This window comes from Homo sapiens, chromosome 10 (genome assembly GCF_000001405.40).
Source record: "Homo sapiens chromosome 10, GRCh38.p14 Primary Assembly".
Lineage (NCBI taxonomy): Eukaryota > Metazoa > Chordata > Mammalia > Primates > Hominidae > Homo > Homo sapiens.
The window spans coordinates 48347945-48365484 of NC_000010.11; the positions used below are offsets into that span (position 1 = coordinate 48347945).

General features: G+C 36.5%; 1 protein-coding gene across 26 annotated transcripts in view; it reads left to right on the top strand.

Moving 5' to 3' along the window:
- MAPK8 (mitogen-activated protein kinase 8) overlaps positions 1 to 17540 on the top strand; it is a 132684-nt gene that overhangs the window by 41268 nt on the left and 73876 nt on the right. For 4 of the 26 annotated variants that reach the window (XM_047425482.1, XM_047425480.1, XM_047425484.1 and 1 more), the window contains one exon: positions 16668 to 16712. The exons of the other annotated variants lie outside the window; for them this stretch is intronic. The gene's annotated coding sequence lies outside the window, so the exon portion shown is untranslated. The remainder of the gene's footprint in view (positions 1 to 16667; positions 16713 to 17540) is intronic. 26 annotated transcript variants of the gene reach the window in all.

Below are 17540 nucleotides of genomic sequence, written 5' to 3' on the forward strand. Positions count from 1 at the left end.
TGGTTCTACATCCTTGAGGAATCGCCAACTGTCTTCCACAATAGTTGAACTAATTTACACTCCCACTAACAGTGTAAAAGTGTTCCTATTTCTCCACATCCTCTCCAGCATCTGTTGTTTCCTGACTTTAATGTTCGCCATTCTAACTGGCGTGAAATGGTATCTTGTGGTTTTGATTTGCATTTCTCTAATGACCAGTGATGATGAGCTTTTCTTCATGTGTTTGTTGGCTGCATAAATGTCTTCTTTTGAGAAGTGTCTGTTCATATGTTTCACCCACTTTTTGATGGGGTTGTTTTTTCTTGTAAATTTGTTTAAGTTCTTTGTAGATTCTGGATATTAGCCCTTTGTCAGATGGATAGATTGCAAAAATTTTCTCCCGTTCTGTAGGTTGTCTATTCACTCTGATGATAGTTTCTTTTGCTTTGCAGAAGCTCTTTAGTTTAATTAGATCCCATTTGTCAATTTTGGTTTTTGTTGCCATTGCTTTTGGTGTTTTAGTCATGAAATCTTTGCCCATGCCTATGTCCTCAATGGTATTGCCTAGGTTTTCTTCTAGGATTTTTATGTGTTATGTCTTACATTTAAGTCTTTAATCCATCCTGAGTTAATTTTTGTATAAGGTGTAAGGAAGGGGTCCAGTTTCAGTTTTCTGCATATGACTAGCCAGTTTTCCCAACACCATTTGTTAAGTAGGGAATCCTTTCCCCATTGCTTGCTTTTGTCAGGTTTGTCAAAGATCAGATCGTTGTAGATGTGTGGTGTTATTTCTGAGGCCTCTGTTCTGTTCCATTGGTCTATATATCTGTTTTGGTACCAGTACCATGCTGTTTTGGTTACTGTAGCTTTGTAGTATAGTTTGAAGTCAGGTAGTGTGATGCCTCGAGCTTTGTTCTTTCTGCTTAGGATTGTCTTGGCTATACGGGCTCTTTTTTGGGCATGTGCAAAGACACTCATAGGCTCAAAATAAAGGGATGGAGGAATATTTACCAAGCAAATGGAAAGCAAAAAAAAAAAAAAGCAGGGGTTGCGATTCTAGTCTCTGATAAAACAGACTTTAAACCAACAAAGATAAAAAGACAAAGAAGGGCATTATATAATGGTAAAGGGATCAATGCAACAAGAAGAGCTAACTCTCCTAAATATATATGCACCCAATACAGAAGCACCCAGATTCATAAAGCAAGTTCTTAGAGACCTACAAAGAGACTTAGACCCCCGTACAATAATAGTGGGCGACTTAATACCCAACTGTCAATATCAGACAGATCGAGACAGAAAATTAACAAGGATATCCAGGAGTTGAACTCAGCTCTGGACCAAGCGGACCTAATAGACATCGATAGAACTCTCCACCCCAAATCAACAGAATATACACTCTTCTCAGCACCACATCACACTTATTCTAAAATTGACCACATAATTGGAAGTAAAACACTCCTCAGCAAATGCAAAAGAGCAGAAATCATAACAGTCTCTCAGACCACAGTGCAAACAAATTAGAACTCAGGATTAAGAAACTCGCTCAAAACCACACAACTACATGGAAACCGAACAACTTGCTCCTGAATGACTACTGGGTAAATAATGAAATTAAGGCAGAAGTAAATAAGTTCTTTGAAACCAATGAGAACAAAGACACAATGTATCAGAATCTCTGGGACACAGCTAAAGCAGTGTTTAGAAGGAAATTTATAGCACTAAATGCCCACAGGAGAAAGCAGGAAAGATCTAAAATCGACACCCTAACATCACAATTAAAAGAACTAGAGAAGCAAGACGAAACAAGTTCAAAAGCTAGCAGAAGACAAGAAATAACTAAGATCAGAGCAGAACTGAAGGAGATACAGACACGGAAAACCCCTCAAAAAATCAGTGAATCCAGGAGCTGGTTGTTTGAAAAGATTAACAAAATAGACTGCTAGTCAGACTAATAAAGAAGAAAAGATAAAAGAATCAAATAGACAAAATAAAAAATGATAAAGGTGATATCACCACTGATCCCACAGAAATACAAACTACCGTCAGAGAATACTATAAACACCTCTATGCAAATAAACTAGAAAATCTAGAAGAAATGGGGAAATTCCTGGACACATATAGCCTCCCAAGACTAAACCAGGAAAAAGTTGAATCCCTGAATAGACCAATAACAAGTTCTGAAATTGAGGCAGTACTTAATAGCCTGCTAACCAAAAAAAAGCCCAGGACCAGACGGATTCACAGCCGAATTCTACCAGAGGTACAAAGAGGAGCTGGTACCATTCCTTCTGAAACTACTCCAAACAATAGAAAAAGAGAGACTTCTCCGTAACTCATTTTATGAGGCCAGCATTATCCTGATACCAAAACCTGGCAGAGACACAACAAAAAAAGAAAATTTCAGGCCAATATCCCTGATGAACATTGATGCGAAAATCCTCAGTAAAATCCTGGCAAACCAAATCCAGCAGCACATCAAAAAGCTTATCCACCATGATCAAGTCTGCTTCATCCCTGGGATGCAAGGCTGTTTCAACAGATGCAAATCAATAAACATAATCCATCACATAAATAGAACCAATGACAAAAACCACATGATTATCTCAATAGATGCAGAAAAGGCCTTTGACAAAATTCAATAGCCCCTCATGCTAAAAACTCAACAAACTAAGTATTGATGGAACTTATCTCAAAATAGTAAAAGCTGTTTATGACAAACCCACAGCCAATATCATACTGAATGGGCAAAAGCTAGAAGCATTCCCTTTGAAAACCAGCACAAGGCAAGGATGTCCTCTCTCACTACTCCTATTCAATATAGTATTGGAAGTTCTGGCCAGGGCAATCAGGCAAGAGAAATAAATAAGGGTTATTCAAATAGGAAGATAGGAAGTCAAATTGTCTCTGTTTGCAGATGACATGGTTGTATATTTAGAAAACCCCATCGTCTCAGCCCAAAATCTCCTTAAGCTGATAAGCAACATCAGCAAAGTCTTAGCATACAAAATCAATGTGCAAAAATCACAAGCATTCCCATACACCAGTAATAGACAAACAGAGAACCAAATCATGAGTGAACTCCCATTCACAATTGGTACAAAGAGAATAAAATACCTAGGAATACATCTTACAAGGGATGTGAAGGACCTCTTCAAGGAGAACTGCCAGCCACTGCTCAAGGAAGTAAGAGGGGACACAGACAAATGGAAAAACATTCCATGCTTATGGATAGAAGAATCAATATCATGAAAATGACCATACTGCTCTAAGTAATTTATAGATTCAATGCTATCCCCATCAAGCCACCATTGACTTTCTTCACAGAATTAGAAAAAATAACTTTGAATTTTTTTTTTTTTTTTTTGAGACAGAGTCTCACTCTGTCACCCAGGCTGGAGTGCAGTGGCATGTGATCATAGCTCACAGCAATCTCAAACTCCTGGGCTTGAATGATTGTCCCGCCTCAGCCTCCTGAGGTCTCGCTATGGTGCCCAGGCTGGTCTCAAACTGCTGGGCTAAGCGATCCTCCTGCCTTAGCCTCCCAAAGTGTTGGGATTGTACCCATGAGTCATGGCACCTCGCCCTGACACAAATTTTAAAGGAGTCATCAAGACAGTGCTTCAACAAGCAGTTATGAACATGCTTGAAATAAATTAAAAAAAAAGGAAGTTTTCAGCATAGCAAATAAATAGGTAAAGAAAAACCAATTGGAAACTTTATAACTGAAAAATACAGTAACCAAAATAAAATCTTAATGGGTAAAACTGTAGCAAAACTGACACAAAAAAAAGAAGACACAAATCATCAGGAGTAAAATAAGAGATACAGGTTGAGTATCCTTCATCTGAGATGCTTGGGTCCAAAAATGTTTCGGATTTCAGATTTTTTCAGATTTTAGAATATTTGCATTGGTTGAGCATCCCGAATTCAAAAACCCAAAATCTAAAAATGCTCCAGTGAGCATTTGCTTTGAGTGTCTTGTTGGTACTCTTAAAGTTTCAGATTTTGGAGCATTTCGGATTTCAGATTATCAGATTTGGGATGCTCCACCACTCTGGAGCCTGTGGACATGAAAAGGATACTATTTTTAAAAATCTACAGAAATAAATTTGACAACTTTGATGAAATAAACTAAGTTTTCAGAAAGTACAACATACTGCAAGTCACTCAGTATGGCATAGATAATTTGAATAGTGCTACAACTTAATAGAACTTTATAATTTTAAAATGAAAATAGGCCCGAATGATTTCATTGGAGAATTCTAGCAAAGGCTTAAAGAAGAATTTACACTATTTCTGTGTAGTCTCTGCCAGAAAATAAGGGAATACTTCCTAATTCATTTATGAAATCAGTATTATTTTGCTACCAAAAGCAAAGACAATACCAAAAAAAAAAACCTACCAATAAAGACCAACTCCTTTTTAAGTATAGATGTAGATAATCCTTAACAAAATGTTAATCAGTATAATCCAACGGTATATAAATAGAATTAAACACAATGACCAAGTGGACTTTATTTTGGGAATGCAAGATTGATTCAACATTTGAAAATCTGTCAATGTAATCTATCAATGTAACCATATTAACAGGATCATGAAGAAAATATATCAAATGCTATAGAAGCATTTGACAAAATTCAATACCATTTATGATTAAAACTCTTAGAAAACTAGGAATAGAAGCAAACTTCCTCAACTGGATAAAGAATATTTATAGAAAATAAACAGCATCATACCTGATGAAAGACTGAATGCTTTCCCCTTATGATTGGAAACAAGGTGACAAGGATGCACACACTCACAACTCTTATTCAACAAAATATTGGGAGTTCCACCCAGCACAGTAAAACAAGCGGGGGGAAAGCCCTGACAATTGGAAAAGGAGAAATGAAACACCTTCCTTTTCGCCTGTGACGTGATCATCTGTTTAGAAAATCCTAAGTAATCTACAAAAAATCTGTGGAACTAATAATGTAGCAGGATCACAAGATACATTTAAAAAGCAATTGAATTTCTCTACACTAGCAATGAACGTGTGAAAACCATAATTAAAAGTGAAATACTATTTGGAATTGCTAAAAAAAAAGTGAAATACCTAGATATCAGTCTAACAAGACATGCATAGGACTTGTTGGATGAAAACTATTAAATGTTGATGAAAGAAATCAAAGACCCAAATGAATGGAAAGACATACTGTGCTCATAGATTGGAAGACTCAGCATGTTATAAATGACTATTTTCCTAAAATAGATGTAATACAAGTTTAACAAAATTTCAGCAGGTTCTTTTTGTAAATATAGACAAAATTTTTCTACGATTTATATGAAAAGACAGAAGAACCAGAGTAGCTAGTTTTTCATACAGTTTTGAAAAAGATAAGGTGGGAGGAAACACTCTATACTCAATTTCGACTTATAAAGATAGCATAATCAAGACAGTGTAGTATTGGCAGACAGATAGACACATAGGTCAGTGGAACAGACTAGAAACCCAGAAATAGCTCCACACAAGTAAAGCCAATTGATTTTGACAGACGTACAAAAGAGACTCAGTGGAGGAAAGTGGCCTGTTCAAATGGTACTGGCACAGTTGGATAGCCATAGGCAACAAAATAAACCTTGACCTAAACCTTGTGCAAAAATTAACTGCAAGTGGATCATAGATTCTAAATGTAAACCCTACAACCATAAAACTTAAAACATGGAAAAAAAAATCTCTGGGACATTTGTGATTCATTTGTATCATGGAATCCTACTCAGCAATAAGAAGGGAATGTGATGTATATGCAACTAATCAGAACTCTTAAAGACATTATGCTGAGTGAAGAAAAGTCAGCTCGAAAAGTCACATATGTATGACTGCATTTATAGAACATTCTTGAAATGACAAAATTATAGACATGGAGGACAAATAACAGATTAGTTGTTGCCAGGGATTAGGGATGGGGTTATGGGAACAGAGAGGGAAGTGAATGTGACTATAAAGCAGGTAGTCTTTGTGGCGATGGAACAGTTTTGTATCTTGATTGTGATTGGTGGTAGTGACACAAATCTGCACCTGTGATAAAGCGATACATAGCTATACACACACACTGTACTAATGTCAGTTTCCTAGTTTTGATTTTATATTATAGTAAGATGTAACCATGGGAGAAACTGGGTGCAGGGTACAGGGGACCTCTTTTGCTATCTTTGGAACTTCCTTTGAATCTAAAATTATTTCAAAATTAAAAAAAAATTTTTTTAAATTATCCTAGCTAAAGCATCAAGTGAAAGTTCTTAAGAGAAAAAAAGAAAACAAGGGAAGGGAAGGTACAGGATGTCTGGGAAATTGTCTGTGACATTTAAACTGGTTTTTGCCCAGGGGGCATTTGCCAAATCTGGTTTCCTTTCCTCAGCATCAGAGAGCATTGAGGAACCTGAGGAAATAATAAGGTCTTTCTTTCTGGGATGATGAATCTGATACGTTCTTCCTCTTCACCTTAAAGCTGAGACTCAGCTAAACTGGAAACCACCACCAATCCCACCATCCTTCAAGATTGCAGGGAAAGTTGATTTTCTGCATGCTTCTTAGTTTTTAATGTGCATCAGAATCACATGGAGGACTTGTTAAAACAAAGATTGCTGGGCAACATCCCCAGAGTGTAAGATTCAGTAGGTCTGGGGTGAGACTTTTAAAATTTGTACCTCTAATAAGTTTCCAGATGATAGTGATTTTGCTGGTCGGGAACCACACTGCAAAAATTATTTGTATAGCTAAAACCTTGTCGGAGTGAATATGGGGGCAAGATCACTGCTGAGAATTTTAAGCAACCAGCTGACCCTTGTATAATTTGCAGTGCGAATTTAACGCTGTGTAGGTGATCTAAAAAAAAAACAGAAAAAGAATTCCCTAAGATAATTTATCCCCATAATGGCAGTATACATAGACTGGCAGTGAGTATCCCCAGACTCTTGTAGAAGCTAACAGAAATTCTCTTTGGAGAAACTCATCTCCATCCCAGAGTTGAAAGTTTTCCTAGAAATAAAATTCTAAGTAAGTAGAACAACTGTGATAGTCAAAAAGAAAAACATAAAGAAACTAAGCACTGTGAGCAGGACTCAACAGCAGACCTGCTGGAAAATAGGAATAGGCAGCTACAGAATATGAAGTAAGTGTTTCATATGTTTCAACAAAAGTTGAAAATATGTTCCAAGATTCAGAAACTATAAAGACTATTCAAAGAGATTTTTTAAAAATAGCTAGAATTTATACAATTGAAAATTATAGTAGTTGAAACTTTATTAAAAGTCCTCAATAGGGCTGGGCGTGGTGGCTCACGCCTGTAATCCCAGCACTTTGGGAGGCCGAGGTGGGCGGATCACGAGGTCAGGAGATCAAGACCATCCTGGCTAACACGGCGAAACCCCATCTCTACTAAAAATACAAAAAATTAGCCGGGTGTAGTGGCGGGTGCCTGTAGTCCCAGCAGCTCGGGAGGCTGAGGCAGGAGAATGGCGTGAACCCAGGAGGCGGAGCTTGCAGTGAGCCGAGATTGCGCCACTGCACTCCAGCCTGGGTGACAGAGCCAGATTCCGTCTCAAAAAAAAAAAAAAAAATCCTCAATAGATGAATTTAACTGCAGATTATATAAACTCAAAAAAGGAAATAATGAACTGAATAATTACTCAACAAGCATTCAAGAGAAACAGTTGAAAAGTACGAAAGAGAAGTTATACATATTTAAAAATAAATATTTATCTGAATGGTTTTCTGTAAGAGAGAATGGTAAACAACAGTTAAAAGAATAATGGCTAAGAATTTTCTGCATCTTGTGAACAACACTAAACTATACATTGAAGAAGCACAGGAACCTAAGGTGGTTAAATAAATAAATCCTCACTTAGCCTTGTTACAATAAAACAGCAGAACATCAAAGACAAAGAAAAGATCTTTGATATATCTGGGGAGGAAGACAGATTTACCGTGAATAAGGTCACACCCAGAAGACAGGGGAACATTTTCTTAAATTAAAATAAAAATCTAGAATTTTATACTAAGAGAATAAATCCAGGGAAATTCATACGTTTCTTGCAGACAAAAACTGAGCATTTGCAATTAGGAAGTCTTCACTTGAAATTTAGAAGTGTGTACTCTAGGCATGAAGAAAGTGACTCTCAGACAGGAGGCCAGAGATACAAGAAAGATCAAAAAGCATAAGAGTAATAAATATCTTAGTAAATCTAAACAAACATTTTTATAAAACAGTAATCATTTTCATAGGCTTTAAAGCATATTAATATATATGTCAATGATAGCACGTAAGTCAGAAGGATGAATGGAGTTTCTGTAAGGTACTTGTGAGGACAGTAAAGACACATAACTTTTCAGAGTCTAAAGTTAATCAGTATGTGTGTCATAATAGCAGATAGAAGAAATAGAGGTAATAACTTGTGAAATAACATAGAGGATGAAATAAGGGAAAATATGAAATCCAAAAGGAGAAAAACCCAGAAACACATAGTTCACAGATTAAGTAGAAAACAACGTGATGGATATAAATCCAAATATATCATTAACTACATTAAATGTAAGATGAATTAAGCCCCAATTAGTTTGAGTGGCCTACTGAATTTTTAAAATCCAACTATGTGGCCTGGCATGATGGCTCACACCTATAGTCCCAGAACTTCAGGAGGCCGAGGCAGGTGGATCACTTGAGGTCAAGAGTTCAAGACCAGCCTGGCCAACATGGTGAAACCCCGTCTTCACTAAAAATACAAAAATTAGCTGGTTCTAATGGCATGTGCCTGTAATCCCAGCTGCTTGGGAAGCTGAGGCAGGAGAATCGTTTCAACCTGGGAGGTGGAGGTTGCAGTGAGCTGAATTTGCACCACTACACTCCAGCCTGGGTGACAGAGTGAGACTCCGTCTCAAAAAAAAAAAAAAAAAAAAAAAAAAAAAAAAAAAAAAATCCAACTACGTAGTTTACCAAAAAAAAAAAAAAAAAAAGTTTAAAATGGTTGAAAGTAAAAGGATGGAAAAAAGATATATCGTGCAAATACTAATATAGGTTTTAAAGGCAAAAATCGGATTGTTTTTTGCACTGATAAAAGGTAACACTTCGATGGGAAAATACGATTGTAAATTCCACATATTTAATGCTGTGACTACAAAGTATATAATGCAAACAAAATACCAGGAGGAAAAAGACATTCATAATCACAGTTGGAGGGTTTTTAGGCTTGTCTCATTAACTGATAGAACAAGCAGAGAATACACTGACATAAACCTTGTTTTACAAGTATTCTTTAATCTGTTTCACATCTGTAACATCTGTAGTCACATCCTGTTTTTCACCACTCATAATTGGTTTTCTGTGCCTTCTTTGTTTTTGTTTAGTCTTGCAAACACCAAATAGTAAATGCCGCTATCTTTATGGTTTGCTAAGAATAATCAGTGATAAGTGAACATACCAGAGAGTTCATCATTTTTGTTTGTGTTTTGAGACAGGGTCTCGCTCTTTTACCTATGCTGGAGTGCGGTGGCATGATCCAGGCTCATGCAGCCTTGACCTCTCGGGCTCAGGTGATCCTCCCACCTCAGCCTCTGAAGTGGGAGCTGGGACTATAGATACATGCCACCACACCTGGCTAAATTTTGTATTTTTTAATAGAGATGGAGTTTCACCATGTTGCCCAGGCTGGTCTCGAACCCCTGGGCTCAAGCAATGCATCCACCTCGGCCTTCCAAAGTGGTGGGGTTATAGGTTACACTGCACCTGGCCATCAATCTTATTTTTTAAAATCTTTTAATTATAAAATACACGTAACATAAATTTATTATTTGTTTAGTACATTTAGAATGTTGTGCATCCGTCACCACTGTATAGTTCCAGGACATTTTCATCACCCCAAGAGGAAACCCTGTATCCGTTACGTAGTCACTCCTCATTCCCCTGTCCCATTTCCTTCCTGGTAAGCACTAATCTGCTTTTTGTCTCTGGGTTTGTCTTTTTTGGATATTTCATGTTAATTGAATCATAGAATATGTACCTGGTTTACTTCACTTAGCATAATGTCCTCAAGGTTCATCCATATTGTAGCAGGTATCAGTACTTTGTTTCTATCTACCACATTTTGTTTATCCAGTCATTAGTTGATGAACCTTTGGATGTTGCTACCTTTTGGCTGTTGTGAATAGTGCTGCTATGAACATGTGTATCCACGTTTTTGTTTGAGTATCTGTTTTCAGTTCTTTTGGATATATACCCCTGACTGGAATTGCTGGGTCATATGGTAATCTATGTTTTACTTTTTGAGGTACCCAGCAAACTGTTTTTCATAGCAGTTGTACCATTTTATATTTCTACCCATGTGATATACAAGGATTCTAATTATCCACATCGTGGTCAGAGCTTGTTACTTTCTTTTTGATTATATTAGTAGTCATCATAGTGGATATGAAGTGGTGCCTTATGGTTTTGATTTGTATTTGCCTCATGGGGTAATGATGTTGAACATCTTGTAACATACTTATTGGCTGTTTTGGGTTTGTCTTTTTTGTTGTTGAATTGTAAGAGTTCTTTCCTGTTTTGGATACAAGACCTTTGTCAGATACATGAGTTGCAAATATTTTCTCCTCTTCTGTGGGTTGTCTTTCCACTTTCTTAATAATGTCCTCTGATGTACAAAAGTTTTTAATATTGGCAAAGTCTAATTCATCTGGTTTTCTTTTGTTGCTTGTGCCTTTGATGTCATATCTACAAAACCGTTGCCAAATCCAGGGTCTAAAAGATTTACCCTCCTATCTTTTCTTCTAAGTGTTTTATAGTTTTAGTTTTATATTAGGTCTTTGATCCATTTTGAGTTAATTTTTGAACATGGTATAGGTAACAGGCTAATGTATTCTTTGTGCATGTTGGCAATCTAGTTGTCTGGCACCATTTGTTGAAGATACTGTTCTTTCCCTCTTGTCTTGACACCCTTGTCAGAAATCGATGACCATTGATATATGGGTTTACTTCGGGACTTTCTGTTCTATTCCATTGATCTGCATGTCTGTCCTTATGCCAGTACCATACTGTTTTTATTACTGTTACTGTGTAGTACGTTTTGAAGTCAGAAAGTATGAGTCCTCCGGCTTTATCTTATAAAAAACCCGACTTTTGGTTTTGCTGATTCTTCTTCTGTTTTGCTTCATTAATTTGTGCTCTCATCTCATCTTCATTATTTTCTTCCTTTTACTATATTCTTTGGGTTGATATTACTGCTCTTTTCCTAATTCAAATTATTATTTATTAGCTTATTAACTTTTATCTCTTAAAAATACGCATTTTAAGTGTGTACATTTTCTTCAGTATACTGCACCAGCGGATCCACAGGTTTTCATTTTTTAAATTAATTTATCTCAGTTTTCATTTTTAGTAGTTTTCTGTTTATAATTTGCTGTTGTAATTCGGATACATTTAGTTTTGCCATTTTTTAAAAGCTTGTTACACATAGTTTTGTAAGCTGTGATCATTTTAGTGTTTAAGTTCTTTGCAGGTCTTTTTCTCTTGTCTGTGTCAAGAGTTTCTTGACAGTTTGGGGGGCTAGCCCTATCAGATATCGATATATTATAAAATGAAAATAATTAAACATTGTGATATTGGTACAAAGGTAGAAAATAGACAGTGGAAAGAATAGAGTACCCAGAACCACCCATTCCCTGCCTATTTGAATACTTTCTATGTGACAGAACACCATTGCAGATCACTAAGGAAAGGGCTTCAATGACTTGTGCTAGGTTAATCGGATAGACACATGAAAAAAAATAAATTGGATACCTTCCTCACATCGTATAAAAATCAGTTCCAGGTTGAATAAATACCTCTATGTAAAAGCCAACAACTGTATAAAGCTTTTAATAACATAAAGAGCATATTATCCATGATTTTAAGGCTGGAAAGATTCTTAATCAAGACACAGAAAGCATGAAAAGGATTGATCGGTTCAGCTACATTGTTTTGGAACTCATCTTTGCCAGAAATCTTTATAAGGGGAGTGAGACAGCAAGCCTCCAACTAGAGAAGATATTTGCAACACATAATTGAGAAAGGACTGTTACAAATTAACCGGGTTTGGCAGCATGCACCTGTAATCCCACTTTCTTGGGAGGCTGAGGCACCAGAATCACTTGAACCTGGGAGATGTAGGTTGCAGTGAGCCGAGATCGTGTCACTGCACTCCAGCCTGGGCTACAAAGTGAGACTCTGTCTAAAAGAAAAAAAAAGAAGAAGGTGTAAAGAACTCGAACAGTTGAACTAGAAAGAGACTTCAAAAATAGGAAAACTGAAAGGAAAGTATACAGAAAAGATGCCCAGTCTCCTTAGTATTTAAGAGAAGTGCAGACTAAAACCAAGTGAGATATTAGTTACATTTAAAAGTCTGTCAATTCCATGTTGGTGTTACCCCTTTGGAAAATTGGTTTTTTTATCACCTAAAATAGTTGAGCAGGTGCTTATCCTATGGCCCAGCAGATTAACTCGTAGATACCCTAGAAGTTAGGGTAAATAACCCTAGAAAAGCATAAGCAAATGTGTGGGGGAGGCATCTACAAGAATGTTCATAGCAACGTTTTTTATCATAGCCTAAAATTGGAAACAGCCTAAATATCCCTCAGTAGTAGATTAGATAAACTGTGGTATATTCATGTAGTGGAATATCATTCCATAGGCCCAATTTGTGAACTACAGCCACACACACTCTCACACGCATGTATCACAGTTATAAAATCAGGTGAAAGAAGCAAACGCAAAAGGATATGTATGCCATGATTTCTTTTATATGAAGTTTGGTAAGAGCCAAAACCGAAAAATATGACTGGGATAAATACTTAGATTGTGAAGTTACAAAGAAAAGCAAGGCAATGATTTCCACAAACTTTAGGATAAATGGTACCTCTTGGGTGTGAGAGGAGGAGATGATTATGGGGGGAATTTTAAGGGATTGGTAATGGGTGATGGATACACTGGTGTTCATTCTTTTTTTAAGTGTGTGTATATACAGAATACACTTTGTTATGTAATAGTTTTTGTAAGATGCATTTTTTGTACATTTCTATGCCAGTTATCTGTAATCATGATGAAGTGGTTGATTTTTTTTAAAGGAAAATAAAAATAACCAAAATCGATAAAAAGAAAAAGACCTGATTGATTAATATTATGGAAACAGCATCAGACCAGCTACTTTTATACATGAATTCTATCGAGGAACGTGACCCACTTTTTAGAGTTCCACTTTTGTATTTCCGTACGTCTGTTGCATATTACCCCTGATCACATTAATAGGGTCTCCAAATTAACATGTCCAAAATCAGTGTTTTTATCTTTTTGCTTTTCCAGTGTGTCACTTGATAGTCTGTTTGTTCTTGGTTGACTGCCCTTAGTTGACTTATGACTGCCTCTGTAATTACCTTATAATGATTTCATTTTCCTTATGTTCTCAGCTGTTTTCCACTTCCCTTCTCCCCCAATCTCTTACTGCTCCACAGGACCTCATGTCCTTTTCTAGGGTGAAAACAGCCACTGAACATGAATTATTTCAGTTTACCTTTCCTAGGCTTGAATGCTTCCCTGTTGCTTTCAGAATAATACTTATACTTTTAAAAAAGGAAATGTATTATAGCTATCATCACTTTCACACTTTAAAGCAAATAAAGTTTTTACCACTTCATACTACTAACATTGCTCTCTCTTGTACTATTATACTTCTCTAAGTTTTCCTTTCTACCCTGATGACCGTTGTGCATTTCTTCTTCCATCCTTGCCTTTCTTCTTTCTTTCCCCTGGGGCGTAGGGGGGAGCTTACATATAGGTCTTCCCTAAGGTGCTGTCCTTAGTCTGCATCTTTCTTCTTACTAATTTGTATGTAAAATGAGAATTTATATGACACAGTAAGTATGTTTTCTACTTGGGTTAATAATATCACTACCCTTCCTGGCATGCAGACTGAAATTTCTTGAGTTCTAGCTTCTTCCTCATTGCCTGTATAGCCAGTTGACTAGCAAATTTCATTGATTCTTTCCAAAACTTCAGAAAATTTTCCTCATTTTCATTGACATGACCAGCTTTATTTGCCTTGCTTAATGTCCTCAGATGTGGTTTGCCAGTGGTCTGTGATGCAAAAGTAAATTCATCGTACCTTTTTCCAGCTTTATTTCCTGCAGTGGATCCTTTATGAAACCTGTATGCCCAGCAAAATGGAATATTTTTCTTTGACAGTTGCTGTTTTTGCCTCTGTTCTTTCCTCTCACTATTCATTCCCTTCACCATATCCCCCATCCCTTCTACCTCTTTTCTCCTTACACAATGAGTCTTAGAAAGAAAGATACGGAAGTGAAAATTACCTTTTTTCAGGCCAGATTCTTAGCCTCAAAGATATCTGTAGCATTTCATTTGTATCTTTTCTGACCCTTGTTTCTGCCTTGCTTTAAGATGAACTTTGAGTGTTTTATTTCTACTAACTAGTTTCTCTATTTCTTGGGATCAGGGAGTCATCTTTGTGTCCCAGACTCAGAAGAGGAAATCATATACTGTTCATGTGAATTAATGGGGAACAAATACAAAGAAAAAAACCACATTTTCTTTTTATTAGCCTCTATTTTGGGGGTGGGGGGTGGGAAGTGGGTAGGGGTTTCTAAAATCATTAAATTTTAGTTAAGAGCGATCTTACCACTAATTTATTCCAAGACCATAGTTTTATGAACAAGAAAAATGTGCCTCCAAAATTTAAGTGGATTCCACTGTATCACACTGCTCACGTAATTTGTGATTTCCAAAATTTTATTAGTTTTTTTTTTTTTTTTTTTTGAGATGGAGTTTCACTCTTGTTGCCCAGGCTGGAGTGCAATGGCGTGATCTTGGCTCACTGCAACCTCCACCTCCCGGGTTCAAACAATTCTCCTGCCTCAGCCTCCTGAGTAGCTGGGATTACAGGCGCCTGCCACCACGCCCAGCTGATTTTTGTATTTTTAGTATGGACAGGGTTTCACCATGTTGGCCAGGCTGGTCTCGAACTCCTGACTTCATGATCCGCCCACTTCGGCCTCCCAAAGGGTTGGGATTACAGGCGTGAACCGCCACACCTAGCGTGGTATTTATTTTTTAGAAATGGGGCCTCGCTGTGTTGCCCAGACTGGAGTGCAGTAGCTATTCACTGGCCTGAACATAATGCACTGCAGCCTTGAACTCTTGGCGTCTAGCCATCCTCACGCCTCAGCCTCCTGAGTACTGAAAATTTTAAGGTCATTTTGCCTTCAGTCCCACATGGGAGCAGGAGTCCTAGGTGAGCTGGGGTTGCCATAACCATAATTGAATGTGAGTCCCCTGGCAGAAAGGTAACCTCCTTTTCTTTATATGCGCTCATAGAAATTCATTTATCTATTCCTATTTCTCTTTTCTCCCCACCTTTGGCTTTGGTAGCTGGAGCTGGCAAGAAATCTTTCTTATTTTCTGTAATGTGTTTTATAAATTATGTGTGGTCTAATGATTATATGGTTGTAAGAAAAATACCATAAAGGAAGAGTGTTTGTCCTTAGTTTTCATCTTTAGTTATCCATAAAATCTGAACTCTACCCTGAAAAATTTGTCGTCATTGTATTTTTCATCTTTCCTCGATATCTACTTGTTAGTTCAATACTATCTTTTATCAATTTTAATGTACTGTTCCAAAGAACATATTTGTTACTGTTTTCATAGGGAATTGAGCAGTAGGACGTTTTTCTTACAGAATTAAACTTACATTTTTCTCCATCCACTAGATGGCTCAAGTGCACCACTTTGGCAGCTCAGATTGATCCTTGCTTGCTTTGCTTGTAGTTTCTACTTTGAGTACTGTTTGCTTTTTAAAAACTGGATGAGCCCTTACCTGAACCTAGCTTTACATATATGTGATGGCAGATTTCCTCGCATTTTCTGATTATTTACAGACTTCTGAAAAGCTGGTGAAGTGTTCTTCATATCAGTAGTAAAAAGTGCATTACAGTGCTTAGAAGATTTTGTTTTTTGCTTTTAAGTTATTTTAGACTTTAATTCAATTGCCAATAATCTATTTAGATTTCTTCAAACTAGGCATGCAGTTAATAATTCATCCATTTCTTCCTGATTCATAGTCATTTGGAGTCATTTTCCAGCACATGGTGGTACCTCAGGAGTTTTTGAGGCACACGGGGCTATTTGCTTCAGTTCTGTAGTAATATTTATTTAGTGTTTTTGTGCTTGGAATTGTATGGGGCAGTGGAGGGAAATACCAGGATGACTAAAGAGGATATTTTCATCAGCAGGGAGCTCACTGCGTTAATTCGTTTCCTTAAGTTTCCTTTTTTATTATTTTTTATTTTTATTTTCCCTGAAAGCACACATTGGTATCTTGAGTTTTTGAAGCCAAATAATGAGTATAATGAAATGGCTCATTAGAGCTTATGTTTGTAACCAACCCTGAGGAGAATTTTGTTTTTGACATTGACCCTGTTGATATTGCCTGAAAAAATTTAAAAAAAAAAACTGAATTCTTTAGAAATATTTTATGCTTATGGCTTTCTGTTTTGAGTTAAGTAAAAAGGAAAAGGAATTAAGATTTGTTGAATGCTTATCATGTGCCAGTTTCTTACTTAATTTGATGCTCTCAATAATTTGGAAGACAAGTACAAATATCTCTATTTACAGATGAAGAAACTAAGGAATCAGAAGTTGCCTAGGATCAAAGAAACAGTAAGTTAGAGAGGCAAACTCTTTGTGATATCAAGGGTTGTTTTTTATTTTTTTGCCCAAGAGAAAATAATTATTTTCTGAAATGGCAGAAACATTTGTAATATCAACTAGTTGGATACTTTCATATCCTAAAGACAGAAAACTCCAAACAAAGGATTGATTGCCTCTCACAGTTGATCTTTGAGATTATAAACAAATATTCTTGCCAAGCTAGAGCAATCAGTCATACTGGTATCTCTTTTACAGATACCTTTAGAATGACAGCAAACACTATAAAATTGATTTTTCCAGAGAAAGTGTTTGCACCTAATAATCTTATTTTTCAGGAATAATAACTGAATTATTTCATCAGTTTGAAAATATAGTGTACGATTTAAAGGAGAATGGCAAGTTATTGATGTAAATACACATTATTTACAATATTATAACTAGATTACATTACAAATATTGTAACAACAATTTGTCTTTATAAAATCCCCTTGATTTCTCTTTATTGTTTAAGAGTCCTTGCAGCTAAGCCGTGTAAAACAGGAAATATGGCTGTTTGCCAGTGTTCTTAAGGAAGCAGGAGTGAAGTAAAGCAAACAATACAAAAGGGGTTTGTTTAAAGGATGTACTTAATTTCTGTGTGGCTGTGGTATCATTTTTCTGGCTCTGTTGTCTTTGTCCTTTTTCACTGCAAAGTTGAAATTGTACTTTCACAACTATTAAAACAAAAATAACCAGTAATGCGAACTGAACCCAAAGATATCTAAGATAAATATCCTCCCATGACTGTAAATTTGTATCCTCCATATCACCTTAGAAATTTTCGTATGCATTGACTAG